Genomic DNA, 16489 nt, shown 5'->3' with positions numbered 1-16489 from the left:
CTGAATCCCCAGAGGAAACCCCATGAGGCAGTATGGAGACTCCCCTTAGGAATTCTTTCAGACCCAGAGAGTCGGACCAGACTCCTCTGAGCATGAACACAGTGTCCTAGTTATCTACCACTATGTAACCAAACAACCCTATACATTAGCGGCTTAAAATAACAGCAATCACTTATTTGCTCACAATTCTGCAATTTAAGCAGAGCTTGTCAAAGAAGGCTTGTCTCTGCTCCATGTGGCATCCACTGAAGTGGCTCAACCTGGGGTGAAGGATCCACTTTCAAGATGGCTCACTCATGTGGCTGCCAAGTTGGTGCTGGCTTTTTGCTGGAAGCTCAGTCAGGGTTGTGGTTGAGAACCTTAGTGCTCTGCCACATGTCCTCCTCATATGTCTTGGGCTTCTCCTAGCATGGCATCTGGGTTCTGAGAGGGAGTACTCAAAAAACTGAGTGTACAAGAGGACAAGACCTAATGTGCAAGTGATGATTAAGCCTTAACTTGCTTCATGCTTGCTAGTGCCCCATTGGCCAAAACTAAGGTCAATCTCAAAGTCATTGTGAGAGGGGACTCCATAAAGAAATCAGTAATATGAGACATGGTTCATTGGGGGAGGAGGCGAGGAAAATGTAACAGCCTGCCACAGATGACAACTGAAGATGAAACATTAAGATGAACTTTCTTTAAATACAACAACCACATACTGTATAATTGGATTTTTTTTAAGCAAGTGCTGTACAATAACCTCTTTTAAACAAGAAGAAAAAATGTGGCCTCTTTTAGTTCTTTCTAGTTTTCTTTTTTATAACATGAAGGAGTCCAGTGGCTCTAGAGATCTTTAAGGTCCATTTTGATTCATTTGTGCCATGACTTCTTAAACCAGTGGCTCTGCTCTTTGCTTTCAAATTTCCTGTCGGCTCCTACTCAGGATATCTTTCTCATGCTGCAGCCTCAAGATATGGAGGAAAATAAATTTTCTGGGTGTTTGAATTTAAAACAGCCTCTTAATGCATGGACTCAGAGAACTGGAAGGAGGCCAAGCCATCATTTGGCCCTCTCCCTTCATCTGAGAGATGGAGGAAAAGCTGAGGACCTCTCCTTGGGGAGGAGCAGAAAAGAGCTAGGCTAAAACAGCTATAGAAGAGGCCACAGAAATGGGATGGGACCCCAAGAGGTCAACCATTCTCCAGAACCTTTTTTGTCAGACCTAAGTCTGGACTTTCCTACAAAGCCAAGGATATCAGAAACATATCAAAGAGAGCAAATGTAATGCCATAACAATTAGTAATTTCAAAAAAGCCAGAAGATGTACTTGCCAAGTTGATAAATATTGTCTTGAATCCTCATTCTGAGGACATACTTGCGTTTTGAGTGAATAAGAGCATTGTTTATCTAAGGCTCTTGAAGCAAATTTGTTCTTTTTTAGTAGGTCCAGATAGATACTCATTGAATAGAGATCTGAATAGCACCTCTTCTGCTGCTGAAAAGAGTGGGTTGGTGTGGTTAACAAGGGTAGATTTCGTAGTCAGCTCAGCCCCTAATCCTTAAAAATGAAGTGCAGGTCTCTAGTAGAAGTGATGAACCTCTGAAAGGCATCATCCTAGGGTACTTGTGGGATAAAGAGTAAGTTTCTTAATTATTCTAGTGGGTCTTTTTGCAACAGTTTGTACCAGGTATAGCTAGACACTTTCCAAACATGCAAAGTAGGCCCTAGCCTCTTCTGTGCAGTGGCAGCCCCATGATTTATACTTGCCATGAGGTGGCCTGAGTAACCCCAGTTCCTGCTCTTCACAGGAGCTGGGAAGAATTGGGACCCTCTCATTTCCATCACGATGGAAGAATTGGATCTTGGTCTACATTTCTTTAAAAAAAAAAAACCCTGAATAATGTGGCCACCCTTGGTTGAGATCTTGGGCTTTCTAAAGTTACTGCCCTCTCACTCTCCAATGGGCCACTTGTCTGCAACTTGCATAGCATCTCCTTGATTTGGTAGCGGTGACTGATGGCTTCAGGGAGATTGAGGGAGGGGCTGCAACATCCACCAAGCTTCATGCTTCATACAGTGGTTGAAGAAGATACCATCACATGTGTATGACTTGCTCCATCCATCCATCCATCCATCCATCCATCCATCCATCCATCCATTGAACTTGTATTTAGTGATCAACAGTGAAATTTAAAGCACTATATTTAATAACTTGAAGACAAGCTCATATTCTAGTTGAGGAGAATACAAGGAGAGGTAAAAATTTACAAGAAGACGACATTGTTTAAAGGCAGCACATGGCAGTCCAAATATAATTGATTGACAAAAATTTCAGATTATAAGAACTGGTGTTTAGAGGAAGGTGAGGATGGAAGGGGTTAGGAAAGGGTCATGGACTCAGCTGGATTCACCTGCATATTCCTTACCTTGAATTCTCCCCCACATTTTGGCAACATATAATATCTCCACTCTACAAATGAGACATCTGGAAGCCAGAAATGGGAAAAAGTGACTTTAAACAAAGCTATGTAGTTTGCACATAGCACATAGTGGAGGAGGAATTAGAGATCAAGTTTGTTTGGATCCAAAGGCCCTTGTGTCCATTACACCATGATGCCTCCTTGAAACAAATGTCAAACACGCTTTTCTCATCTACTGCATGTTCCAGCCTGTGGAGGACCCTTGCATTTGCAAACATGTTAAGGAGACAGGTGTCTAGGAATAAAGCCTGGTGCTCTTGGGCCATGTTTCACAATTAACTGTAGTGGTTTAGGCCTTTGCTATTCAAAGTGTGGTTTATGGACCAGCAGCATCAGCATCACTTGGGAACTGGTTGGAAATTCAGAATCTCAAGCCCTACGCAGACCTACTGAATGAGGCTTTGCATTTTAACAAGATCCCCAAGTGACTCATATGTACATTAAAATTTGAGAAGCACTGGTTTTGAAGGCATACAGGTATACTTCAATTTTAGTACTTTTAGAGTAGTGCATCAAGATCCAGCTTAGAATAAAAGATAAATGAGGAGGGAATTCTGTGCTTTAGGAAATTCACCACTCAGTTGGGTTAAGCGTTGATTGTCATTATGGCATTCAAATTAGGATGCCATGTGTAACTTCTCAGGAATCTATCTTGCACCTACATTCATACTTGGGCAGAGGGAGATAGCTTTCATCCACTAGGGGAGAGGAAGCTTAAATTTGACACAGAAGGCATAAACTAGCAAAAGGAGACGAATAAAGATAATGTGTGCTGAGGAAGTTCAGAAACCTAGATGTAAAGAGGGTCTACATGTGCCTCTGGGATGGACAGGACTCCAGTCCTTCTGGATTGCAAAGCTTCCTGTCTTCTCCTCTGCTCCCGACATCCCAAGGACATAGTTTGTCCTCAGATACAGGGCAGGAGACCCCTATCTTCAGCTCCTCTCCCTGGTAGGCTGAGGCAACACAGAATCCCTTGCTCCCAGGAAGAGGGCAGGTGTGTCCTGGGCAGTACACCGCCCCCAGATTCATCTCCAACTATTGTGTCTGGCTTGATCCAGCCCAGCCTAGTTGCAGAGAGCAGCCAAATTTTCTCCCTCACTTCTTAGAAGCTGCAGGAGTTCCTCTAGCATGTCACCAGCACGGTGGCACTGCATTTATAGTTGGTGATTTTCTATGTCTGAGATTCCTGCCCCCAATCCCTCCATGCCCAAAGGCATCTTCTTGGGCTTCTCCTGGTCTGGCTTCTCTCCCACCTGCTGATATCTGGTTTTGGCCTGCTGGTGTTCTCTCTCCACCTCTTTACTCTGCTATGTTCCTATTAGCATCTCCAAGTCATTTGCTGGAGCAGGTGTCCCCTTTTCTAATCAGGTGCTGCTGAGAGAGGTCCACAGTTCAGCTTTGCCCCGTACCTGCCAGACTGGCTTCAGGCCTCGGCCCTCACTGACTTGGATACTCTCTGCAGCTCAGCCTACAGTAATGCGAGTGGTTTCAGTGTACGGGTAAGCATTCCGGGAAAGGGGCCAGGGGAGACTATGCATGAGAGGGGACCTCTGGGAAGGGAGCTGGAGGGAAGGAATTTAGCCCCACTCCCTGTGGTGGGCTCAATGGAACCCAGTTTTCCCATGAGACTGAGCCAGGGAGATCTCTCCCACCAAAGCTTTCCCTCTCTTTGCCCTGGGGGCCTAGGTGAGAGTTGGTTTTCACTCTTCCTGTCTGGAGTAAGTTACTACAGTTTCTGGGATCCGATGATAAAGAAACAGGGTAATTTCTAAAGAAAATGTTTGGATTTAAAGAAGGGGTTCTGAAGGAAACTCATATCTTCTTTACCAGCATCGAGTTTCTTTTAGTGTCTGGACTCCCAAGTTCAACCTCTATCTCTCTCAGCCTCTCTTTCTGTCTCCTTGTGTCTTTCTAGGTCTCTGCCTGTCTCCCTCTCAGTTGCTCTTTGTCATGTATGTCTCTCTGTTCTGTCTGTCTTTGATCCTCTGTGTTTCTCTATTTGTTCTTCATGTGTCTCGCTCCATCTGTCTCTGTCTCTGTCATGTCTGTCTCTCTCTGCTTGTTCTTTTTTCTCTTTCTCTTAGTGTTTGTTCTCTCTCTCTCTCTCTCTCTTTCTCTCTCTGTGTGTGTGTGTGTGTCTGTCTGTCTGTCTGTCTGTTTTTTCTCTGTCTCTCTTTGATCCTGTCTGACTCATACCGTTTTGTTCCCTCTTTGTGTGTGGATGTCTCCGCATGTCTCTCCCTGTCTCTGTGGGTATGTGTGTATATGTGTCTATCTCTCTTGCTTTCTTCTCTCTGCCCTCTCAGAGTTTCATGATCCCTGAGCTGCTCTCTGGCAGAGCATCTTCTCCTGTTTCTGTGTCTATGCTTGGCCTATCTGCACAGTTTGTTCTTAGATCCTGATGCAGGGTCCCTGCCCTGCCAGCTGCCAGTGTGTGGCTCTGGGCCCTGTGTCTGGCGGTTCTTCTGTGGGCAGGCTTGGTGCTCACAGCTTGCCTTGCCACCCAGACCCTGCCCACACTGGCAGAGACAACATTATTGGAGGGCCAATGGCTTGCATGGGCACTCAGTGCAGGAGCCCAGTTTCAACTGGGAGGGCAGAGATCACACACATGCACACCATGTAAGTATACTCACACAGACACAAACACTCACACGGATCAATTTTGGTAAACACACTGACAACATATTCAGATGCACCATCAAGGAAGGACTTGTTTCCCAGCTGCTGGGAGTGCCATCAGTGGACACTCTCAGCTGTCAGCCTTTTCCAGGCTGGCCTCAGTGGCAGAAAGAACTTTGCACCTTCTTGGGGAAGCTCATATCCAGTGGGTGATTTCTACAAGATTGTAAAGGCTTGACCATCTTGACCTATCTTGGAAGGACCATTCTAGCTCCACAGCTCCCCATGGGGTTGGCCCTGCTTCCCAGCAGCTGGTGAGCTCTGTCTGGCCATTCTAGCTTCCTTCCTCTCATTTCCCAGATGTTGATCCCAAGGTCCCTCCTTAATCCACATCCTGCACACTAACCTCAGTCTCAAAGTTTTCTTCCCAGGAAACCCAGCTGGTGACAGACACACACATTTATATTCTTGCTGTTTTCTTTCCTTCCCTCTTTCTCTCTCTCTCTCTCCACACACACACACACACACACACACACACACACACACACACACACACACTCTACTTAATTTTCTTTCCTCCCTGGGCATTAAAATTTACCTTTTCCCTTGGATCTCTCCTTTGTAACGTACTGAAGTTTTGTTCCCAGGAAAATAATTATGTCCGTGTTTCTCGCCCCAACTGGCACCAGCTGCCTGGTTTAGACCTTGCAATTGTCTCTTGGACTGTGCTAGAATCTTTGGCAGTTCCTTACTTTGCATTTTCTTCATCAGCACAGTGGGAAGAACATAGGTTTAGGAGAGACGAGACCCAGTTTGTAGTCCTAACTTCATCACTAATCAGCTGTAGGACCTTGTGAAAACCATTTTCACTCCTATGCCTCAGTTTCCTTGTCTGTAAAAGGAGTTCCCATGAAGTCTACCTCACAGAGCGAGAGATGGTATCTGTGTCTGTACTGTGATGTGCTACATAATTTTTAGTTTTATTAAACACATCAGGTGGATTAAGCCATGTGACAATTTTTCCCTTTATTCTCTTTCCTGATTTTTTTTTGGTTCCTTGATTGTGCAAAGGCAGCAGAGCCCTCACCACCACAAAACAGCAACTCTATTATTTACTGAGCCCTTACTATGACTATTCATTTTAATGTCTCATTTGATTCCCACAGCCATCTTGTAACGATGGCTCTATTATCCTTTCCTACAGATAGGAGCACAGAAATTTGGGAGGTCGATAACTTGAGAGTTTATTCAAGGTTAAATGGCAAGTGAATGCTGGTGCAAGATCCACATTTAAACTCCATCGTGTCCAACATGCTTAAGGTAAAAGGGCAGAAAGAGATATTCCATGCAAATGGACACCAAAAGTGAGCAGGAGTAGCTATTCTTATATCAGACAAAACAAATTTTAAGGCAACAGCAGTTAAAAAAGACAAAGAGGGACATTATATAATGATAAAAGGACTAACCCAACAGGAAAATATGGGCATTATATAATCATAAAAAGACTAGTTCAACAGGAAAATATCACAATCCTAAATATATATGCACCTAACACCAGAGTTCCCAAATTTATAAAACAGTTACTACTAGACCTAAGAAATGAGATACACAGCAACACAATAATAGTGGGGGTCTTCAATATACCACTGACAGCACTAGACAGGTCATCAAGACAGAAAGTCAACAAAGAAGTAATGGACTTAAAATATACCCTAGAACAAATGGAATTAACAGATATTTACAGAACATTCTACCCAACAACTGCAGAATATATACTCTATCAGCACATGGAACGTTCTCCAAGATAGACCATATGACAGACCACAAAAGAAGCCTCAACAAATTTAAGAAAATTGAAATTATATGAAGTACTCTCTCAGACCATAGTGGAATAAAACTAGAAATAAACTTCAAAAGGAATCCTCAAAACCATGCAAATACATGGAAATTAAATAATCTGCTCCTGAATGATCATTGCATCAGCAATAAAATCAAGATGGAAATTAAAAAATTATTTGAACTGAACGATAACAGTGACACAACCTATCAAAACCTCTGGGATACAGCAAAAACAGTGCTAGGAGGAAAGTTCATAGCATTAAATACCTACATCAAAAAGTCTGAAAGAGCACAAATAGACAAACTAAGGCCATACCTCAAGGAACTAGAGAAACAAGAACAAACCAAACCCAAACCCAGCAGAAGAAAAGAAACAACCAAGCTCAGTGCAGAACTAAATAAAATTGAAACAAAAAAATACAAAAGATAAATGAAACGAAAAGCTGGTTCTTTGAAAAGATAAATAAAATTGATAGACCATTGGCAAGATTAACCAAGAAAAGAAGAGAAAAGATCCAAATAAGCTCAATTAGAAATTAAACTGGAGATATTACGACCAATACCACAGAAATACAAAAGATCATTCAAGTCTACTATGAATACCTTTACATGAATAAACTAGAAAACCTAGAGGAGATGGATAAATTTCTCAAAATATACAGCCTATTTAACCTAATAAACAACAATCTATTTATTCCTAGATTAAACCAGAAAAAATAGAAACTCTTGACAGACCAATAATAAGCAGCAAGATTGAAATGGTAATTAAAAAGGTACCAACAAAAAAAAAGTCCAGGACCAGATGGGTTCACAGCTGTATTTTATCAGACATTCACAGAAGAATTGGTACCAATCCTATTGACACTATTCCAAAAGATGGAGAAATAGGGAATTTCCCCTAAATCATTCTATGAAGCCAGTATCACCGTAATACCAAAACCAGGAAAAGACATAACAAAAAAGAAAACTACAGACCAATATTCCTGATGAACACAGATGCAAAATTTCTCAACAAAATACTAGCTAACCAAATCCAACAGCATATCAAAAAGATAATGCACCATGATCGAGTGGGTTTTATACAAGGGATGTAGGGATGGTTTAACATATGCAAGTCAATAAAATGTAATACACCACATAAACAGAATTAAAAACGAAAATCACATGATGATCTCAATAGATGGAGAAAAAGCATTTGACAAAATCCAGCATCCCCTTATGATTAAAACCCTCAGCAAAACTGGCATAGATGGGACATACCTTAAGGCAATAAAAGCCACAGCCAACATTACACTAAACGGGGAAAAGTTGAAAACACTCCTCCTGAGAACTGGAACAAGATAAGGATACCCACTTTCCCCTCTTCTATTCAACATAGTACTGGAAGTCCTAGCCAAAGCAACCAGACCTGAGAAAGAAATAAATGGCATCCAAATTGGTAAAGAGGAAGTCAAACTGTCACTGTTTGCTGAGACATACATGATCATATACCTAGAAAACCCAAAAGACTCATCCAAAAAGCTCCTAGAACTGGTAAATGAATTCAGCAAAGTTTCAGGATACAAAATTAATGTACACAAATCAGTAGCCCTGTTATAAACCAACAGCGACCAAGCTCAGAATCAAATCAAGAACTCAACCCCTTTTATAACAGTTGCAAAAATTAAAATAAAATACTTAGGATTATACCTAACCAAATAGGTGAAAGACCTCTACAAGAGAACTACAAAGCACTGCTGAAAGAAATCACAGATGACACAAACAAATGGAAACACATCCCATGCTCATGGATGGGTAGAATCAATATTTTGAAAATGACCATAATGCCAAAAACAATCTACAAATTCAATGCAATTCCCATTAAAATACCACCATCATTTTTCACAGAACTAAAAAAAAAATCCCAAAATTCATATGGAACAAAAAAGAGCCTGCATAGCCAAAGCAAGACTAAGCAAAAAGAACAAATCTGGAGGCATCACAATACCCGACTTTATACTATAAGGCCGTAGTAACCAAAACAGCATGGTACTGGTATAAAAATAGGCGTATAGACTAATTGAACAGAATAAAGAACATGAAAATAAAGCCAGATACTTATCCCCAACAGATCTTCAACAAAGCAAACAAAAACTTAAAGTGGGGAAAGGACACTCTTTTCAACAAATGGTGCTGGGATAATTGGCAAGCCATATGTAGAAGAATGAAACTGGATCCTCTCACCTTATACAAAAATCAACTCAAGATGGATCAAAGACTTAAATCTAAAACCTGAAACCATAAAAATTCTAGAAGATAACATTGGAAAAACCCTTCCGGACATTGGCTTAGGCAAAGACTTCATGACCAAGAACCCAAAAGTAAATGCAACAAAGATAAATAGATGGGACTTAATTAAACTAAAAAGCTTCTGCACAGCAAAAGAAATAATCAGCAGAGTAAACAGACAACCCACAGATGGGGAGAAAATCTTCGCAATCTATGTTTCTGACAAAGGACTAGTGTCCAGAATCTACAAGGAACTCAAACAAATCAGCAAGAAAAAAAACAGATAATCCCAGCAAAAATTGGGATAAGGACATGAATAGACAATTCTCAAAAGAAGATTTACAAATGGCCAACAAACATATGAAAAAATGCTGAATATCACTAATTATTAGGGAAATGCAAATCAAAACCACAATGAGATACTACCTTACTGCTGCAAGAATGGCCATAATAAAAAAATAGTAGATGTTGGCATGGATGTGGTGTTGAAAAGGGAACACTTTTACACTGTTGGTGGGAATGTGAACTAGTACAACCACCATGGAAAACAGTGTGTAGATTCCTTAAAGAACTAAAAGTAGATCTACCATTTGATCCAGCAATCCCACTCCTGGGTGTCTACCCAGAAGAAAAGAAGTCATTATACAAAAAAAGATACTTGCACATGCATGTTTATAGCAGCACAATTCGCAATTGCAAACGTATGAAACCAGCTCAAAAGCCCCTCAATCAATGAGTGTATAAACAAAATGTTGAATATATGTACCATGGAATACTACTTAGCCATAAAAAGGAACGAAATAATGACATTTGCAGCAACCTGGGTGGAATTGGAGACCATTATTCTAAGTGAAGTAACTCAGGAATGGAAAATCAAACATTGTATGTTCTCACTCATAAGAGGAGCTAAGCTATGAAGATGCAAAGGCATAAGAATGATACAATGGACTTTGGGGAACTCAAGGGAAAGTGTGGGAGGCGGGTGAGGGATAAAAGACTACACACTGGGTACAGTGTAAACTGCTCAGGTGATGGGTGCACTGAACTCTCAGAAATCACCACTAAAGAACATATTCATGTAAAAATAAAAATAAACTTGATTGTGTCAAAAGCCCATACTGCACAAAGAGAGATAAGTCTCCTGGATGTCATGATTGACTCAATGGAATAGGATGAGATCAATCCATAGATCTACCAGAAATCCTAGGGAAGGGATGATGACCTTGATACTTTTTTTTCTTCCTTCCTTCTTTTTTTATATTTAGATGTTGATTAATTTTTATTTTTTTCCGTAAGTTATTGGGATACAGGTGGTATTTGGTTACATGAGTAAGTTCTTTAGTGGTGATTTGTGAGATTTTTGTGCACCTATCACCCAAGCAGTATACACTGCAACGTATTTGTAGTCTTTTATCCCTCACCCCTCTCTCACTCTTTCCCCATGTCCCCAAAGTCCATTGTATCATTCTCATGCCTTTGTGTCCTCATAGGTTAGCTCCCACATATCAGTGAGAACATACGATATTTGGTTTTCCATTCATGAGTTACTTCACTTAGAATAATAGTCTCCAATCTCATCCAGCTTACTGCACATGCTGTTAATTCATTCCTATTTATGGCTATGTAGTATTCCATTGTATATACCACAGTTTCTTTATCCACTCGTTGATCGATGGGCATTTGGGTTGGTTCCACGATTTTGTGATTGTGAATTGTGCTGCTATAAACATGCATATACAAGTATGTTTTTTTGAGTAATGACTTATTTTGCTCTGTGTAGATACCCAGTAGTGGGATTGTTGGATCAAATAGTCATTCTACTTTAATTATTTAAGGAATCTCCACACTGTTTTCCATAGTGGGTGTACTAGTTTACATTCCCACCAGCAGTGTAGAAGTGTTCCCTGTTCACTGCATCCATGCCAACATCTACTGTTTTTTATTATTATTACTATTTTTATTATGACCATTCTTGCAGCAGTAAGGTGGTATCACATTATGGTTTTGAGATTTTGATTTGCATTTCCCTGAACATTAGTGATGTTAAGCATTTTTTTTCGTATGTTTGTTGGCCATTTGTATACCTTCTTTTGAGAATTGTCTATTCATCTCCTTAGCCCACTTTTTGATGGGAGTGTTTGTTTTTTTCTCACTGATTTGTTTGAGTTCGTTGTAGATTCTGGATATGAGTCCTTTGCCAGATGTATAGATTGTGAAGATTTTCTCCCACTCTATGGGTTGTGGTTTACTCTGCTGACTGTTCATTTTGCTGTGCAAAAGCTCTTTAGTTTAGTTAGGTACCAGTTATTTATCTTTATTTTTATTGCATTTGCTTTTGGGTTCTTGGTCATGAATTCCTTTCCTAAGCCAATGTCTAGAAGGGTTTTTCCAAGATTATCTTCTAGAATTTTTATAGTTTCAGGTCTTAGGTTTAAGCCCCTAATCCATCTTGAGTTGATTTTTGTATAAATTGAGAGATGAGGATCCAGTTTCATTCTCCTACAGGTGGCTAGCCAATTATCCCAGCACCATTTGTTGAAAAGGGTGTCCTTTCCCCACTTTAAGTTTTTGTTTGCTTTGTTGAAGAGCAGTTGGCTGCAAGTATTTTGGTTTATTTCTGGATTCTCTATTCTGTTCCATTGGTCTATGTGTCTATTTTTATACCAGTACCATGCTGTTTTGGTGACTATGGCCTTATAGTGTAGTTGGAAATCAGGTAGTGTGATGCCTCCAGATTTGTTATTTTTGCTTAGTCTTGCTTTGGCTATGTGGCCTCTTTTTTGGTTCCATATGAATTTTAGAATTGTTTTTTCTAATTATGCGAAGAATGATGGTGGTATTTTGATGGGGATTGCATTGAATTTGTAGATTGCTTTTGGCAGTATGGTCATTTTTACAATATCAATTCTACCCATGAATGAGCATGCGATGTGTTTCCATTTGTTCGTGTCATCTATGATTTCTTTCAGCAGTGTTTTGCAGTTTTCTTTATAGAGGTCTTTCGACTCCTTTGTTAGATATATTCACAGGTATTTTATATATTTTTGCAGCTATTGTAAAAGAGATTGAGTTCTTGATTTGATTCTCTGCTTGGTCACTCTTGGTGTATAGAAGAGCTACTGATTTGTGTACATTAATCTTGTATCTGAAAACTTTTCTGAATTCTTTTATCAGTTCTAGGAGCTTACTGGAGGAGCCCTTAGGGTTTTCAAGGTAAATGATCATATCATCAGCAAACAGTGACTGTTTGACTTCCTCTTTACTGATTTGGATGCCCTTTATTTCTTTATTTCTTTCTCTTGTCTGATTGCTCTGGCTAGGACTTCCAGCACTATGTTGAAGAGGAGTGGTGAGAGTGGGCATCCCTGTCTTTTTCCAAGTCTCAGAGCGAATGCTTTCAACGTTTCCCCACTCCATATTATGTTGACTGTGGGTTTGTCATAGATGGCTTTTATTACATTAAGGTATGTCCCTTGTATGCTGATTTTGCTGAGAGTTTTAATCATAAAGTGATGCTGGATTTTGTCAAAAGCTTTTTCTGCATCTATCAAGATGACAATGTGATTTTTGTTTTTAATTCTGTTTATGTGGTGTATCGCATTTATTGACTTGCATATGTTAAACAACCTCTGCATCCCTGGTATGAAACCCACTTGATCATGGTGGATTATCTTTTTAATATGTTGTTGGATTCAGTTAGCTAGTATTTTGTTAAGGATTTTAGCATCTATGTTCATCAAGGATATTGATCTGCAGTTTCCGTTTTTAGTTATGTCCTTTCCTGGTTTTGGTATTAGGATGATGCTGGCTTCATAGAATGAATTAGGGAGGGTTCCTTCTTTCTCTATCTTGTGGAAAACTGTCAAAAAGATTGGTACGATTTCTTCTTTGAATGTCTGGCAGAATTCTTCTGTGAATTTGTCTGGTCCTGGACTTTTTTGGTTGTTGGTAATTTTTTAATTACCATTTTGATCTCTCTGCTTGTTATTGGTCTGTTCAGGGTATCTAACTCTTCCTGATTTAAGCTAGGAAGGTTGTATTTTTCCAGGAATTTATCCATCTCTTCTAGGTTTTCTAGTTTATGTGTGTAAAAGTGTTCATAGTAGCCTTGAATGATGTTTTGTATTTCAGTGGTGTCAGTTGTAATATCTCCTGTTTCATTTCTTAGTGAGGTTATTTGGATTTTCTCACTTCTTTTCTTCATTAGTCTTGCTAATGGTCTATCAATTTTATTTATCTTTTCAAAGAACCAGACTTTGTTTCATTTATCTTTTGCATTTTTTTTTGTTTCTTTCAATATCATCTAGTTCTGTTCTGACCTTGGTTATTTCCTTTCTTCTGCTGTGTTTTGTTTGGTTTGTTCGTGTTTCTCTGATTCCTTGAGGTGTGACCATAGATTGCCTGTTTGTACTCTTTCAGACTTTTTGATGTAGGCATTTAGGGCTATGAACTTTTCCTCTTAGCACTGCCTTTGCTGTATCCCAGAGGTTTTGATAAGTTGTGTCATTATTGTCATTCAGTTTGAAGAATTTTAAAATTTCCATCTTGATTTTGTTTTTGACCCAATGCTCATTCAGGAACAGGTTATTTAATTTCCATGTATTTGCATGGTTTTGAAGGTTCCTTTTGGAGTTGATTTCCAGTTTTATTCCACTGTGGTCTGAGAGAGTGCTTGATATAATTTCAATTTTCTTAAATTTATTGAGGCTCGTTTTATGGCCTATCGTATGGTCTGTCTTGGAGAAAGTTCCAGGCTCTGTTGAATAGAATGTGTATCCTGTGGTTGTTGGATGAAATGTTCTGTATATATCTGTTAAGTCCATTTGTTCCAAGGTGTAGCTTAAATCCATTGTTTCTTTGTTGACTTTCTGTCTTGATGACCTGTCTGGTGCTGTCAGTGGAGTATTGAAGTCCCCCACTACTATTGTGTTGCTATCTATCTCATTTCTTAGGTCCATTAGTAATTGTTTTATAAATTTGGGAGCTCCAGTGTTAGGTAGATATATGTTTAGGATTGTGATATTTTCCTGTTAGACAAGACCTTTTACCATTATATAATGTTCCTCTTTGTCCCTTTTTACCTCCGTTGCTTTGAAGTTTGTTTTGTCTGATAGAAGAATAGCTGCCCCTGCTTGCTTTTGGTATCCATTTGCATGAAATCCCTTTTTCCACCCCTTTACTTTAAGTTTATGTGAGTCCTTATGTGTTAGGTGAGTCTCCTGAAGGCGGCAGATAGTTGGTTGATGAGTTCTTATCCATTCTGCGGTTCTGTATCTTTTAAGTGGAGCATTTAGGCCATTTATATTCACTGTTAGTATTGAAATTTGAGGTACCATTGCATTCCTCATGTTCTTTGTTGCCTGTGTACTTTGGTGGGTTTTTTTTTTTGTTGTTTGTTTGTTTGTTTGTTTGCTTTTTAACTTGTATTTTTGTTTTATAGGTACTGTATGATTTATGCTTTAAAGAGGTTCTGTTTTGATGTGTTTCCAGGATTTGTTTCAAGATTTAGAGCTCCTTTTAGCAGTTCATGTAGTGGTAGCTTGGTAATGGTGAATTTTCTCTCAGCGCTTGTTTGTCTGAAAACGACTGTATCTTTCTTTCATATATGTTGCTTAGTTTCTCTGGATACAAAATTCTTGGCTGATAATCGTATTGCTTGAGGAGGCTGAAGGAGTGCCCCAATCCCTTCTAGCTTGCTGAGGCTGCTGCTGAGAAGTATGTTGTTAATCTGATAGGTTTTCCTTTATAGGTTACCTGGTGCTTCTGTCTCACAGCTATTAAAATTCTTTCCTTCATCTTAACTTTGGATAAACTGAATACAGTGTGCCTGGGTGAAGATCTTTTTGTAATGAATTTCCCAGGTGTTCTTTGTGCTTCTTGTGTTTGGATGTCTAGGTCTCTAGCAAGGCTGGGAAAGTTTTCCTCTACTCCTCCTCCAAATATGTTTTCCAAGCCTTTAGAATTCTCTTCTTCCTCAGGAATACCGATTATTCTTGGGTTTGGTCATTTAATGTAATCCCAGACTTCTTGGAGGCTTTGTTCGTATTTTCTTACTCTTTTTCTTTGCCTTCTTTGGGTTGGGTTAATTTGAAGACCTTGTCTTCAAGCTCTGAATTTTTTTCTTCTACTTGTTCAATTCTATTGCTGAGACTTTCCAGAGCATTTCACATTTCTAAAAGTGTGTCCAAAGTTTCCTAAATTTTTTATTGTTTTTTCTTTAAGCTATCTATTTCCTTGAATATTTCTCCAGTCACTTCTTGCATCATATTTTGGATTTCCTTGCATTAGGCTTTGCCTTTCTCTGGTCCCTCCCTGATTAGCTTAATAACTAACCTCATGAATTCTTTTTCAGGTAAATTGGGGATTTCTTCTTGGTTTGGATCCATTGCTGGTGAACTAGTGTGATTTTTTTTTTTTGTGGGGGTGCTGTTGAAGAGTCTTCTTTTTTCATATTACCAAGGTTGGTTTTCTGGTTCCTTCTCATTTGGGTGAGCTCTGTCAGAGGGAAGGTCTAGAACTGAAGGCTGTTGTTCAGATTCTTTTGTCCCATGGGGTGTTCCCTTGATGCAGTACTCTCTTCCTTTTCCTATGGATGTGGCTTCCTGTGAGACGAACTGCAGTGATTGTTGTCTCTCTTGTGGGTCAGGCACTCAGTTAATCTACTTGGCTCTGGGCTGGTACTGGGGGTTGTCTGCACAGAGCCCTGCCATGTGAACTGTCTATGGGTCTCTCAGCTGTGGATACCAGCACCTGTTCTGGTGGAGGTGGCAGAGGGTGCAATGGACTCCATGAGGGTACTTAGCTTTGGTGGTTTAATGCTTTATTTTTGTGCTGGTTGGCCTACTGCTAGGAGGTGGTGCTTTCCAGAAAGCATCAGCTATAGTAGTGTGGAGAGATATTGAGGTGGGTGGGGCCCTGGAACTCCCAAGATTATATGCCCTTTGTCTTCTGCTACTAGGATGGATAGGGAAGGAGCATCAGGTGGGGGTGGGGCTAAGCGTGTCTGAGCTCAGATTCTCCTTTGGAGGGTCTTGCTGAGGCTGCGGTGGGGGATGGGGGTGAGATTCCCAGATCACTGGAATTGTGTACCTAGGAGGATTATGCTGCCTCTGCTGAGTTGTGCAGGTTGTCAGGGAAGTGGGGGAAAGCCGGCAGTCACAGGCCTCACCCAGCTCCCATGCAAAGTGAAGGGCCAGTCTCACTCCCACTGTGTCCCCGCCAACAGCCCTGAGTCTGTTTCCAGGTGGAGGGCTAGAGGGGCTTGAAAACTTGCCCAGGCAAAGAGGAGGGCTTT

This window comes from Homo sapiens, chromosome X (genome assembly GCF_000001405.40).
Source record: "Homo sapiens chromosome X, GRCh38.p14 Primary Assembly".
Classification (NCBI taxonomy): domain Eukaryota; kingdom Metazoa; phylum Chordata; class Mammalia; order Primates; family Hominidae; genus Homo; species Homo sapiens.
Note: the sequence above shows the minus strand (reverse complement) of the source record.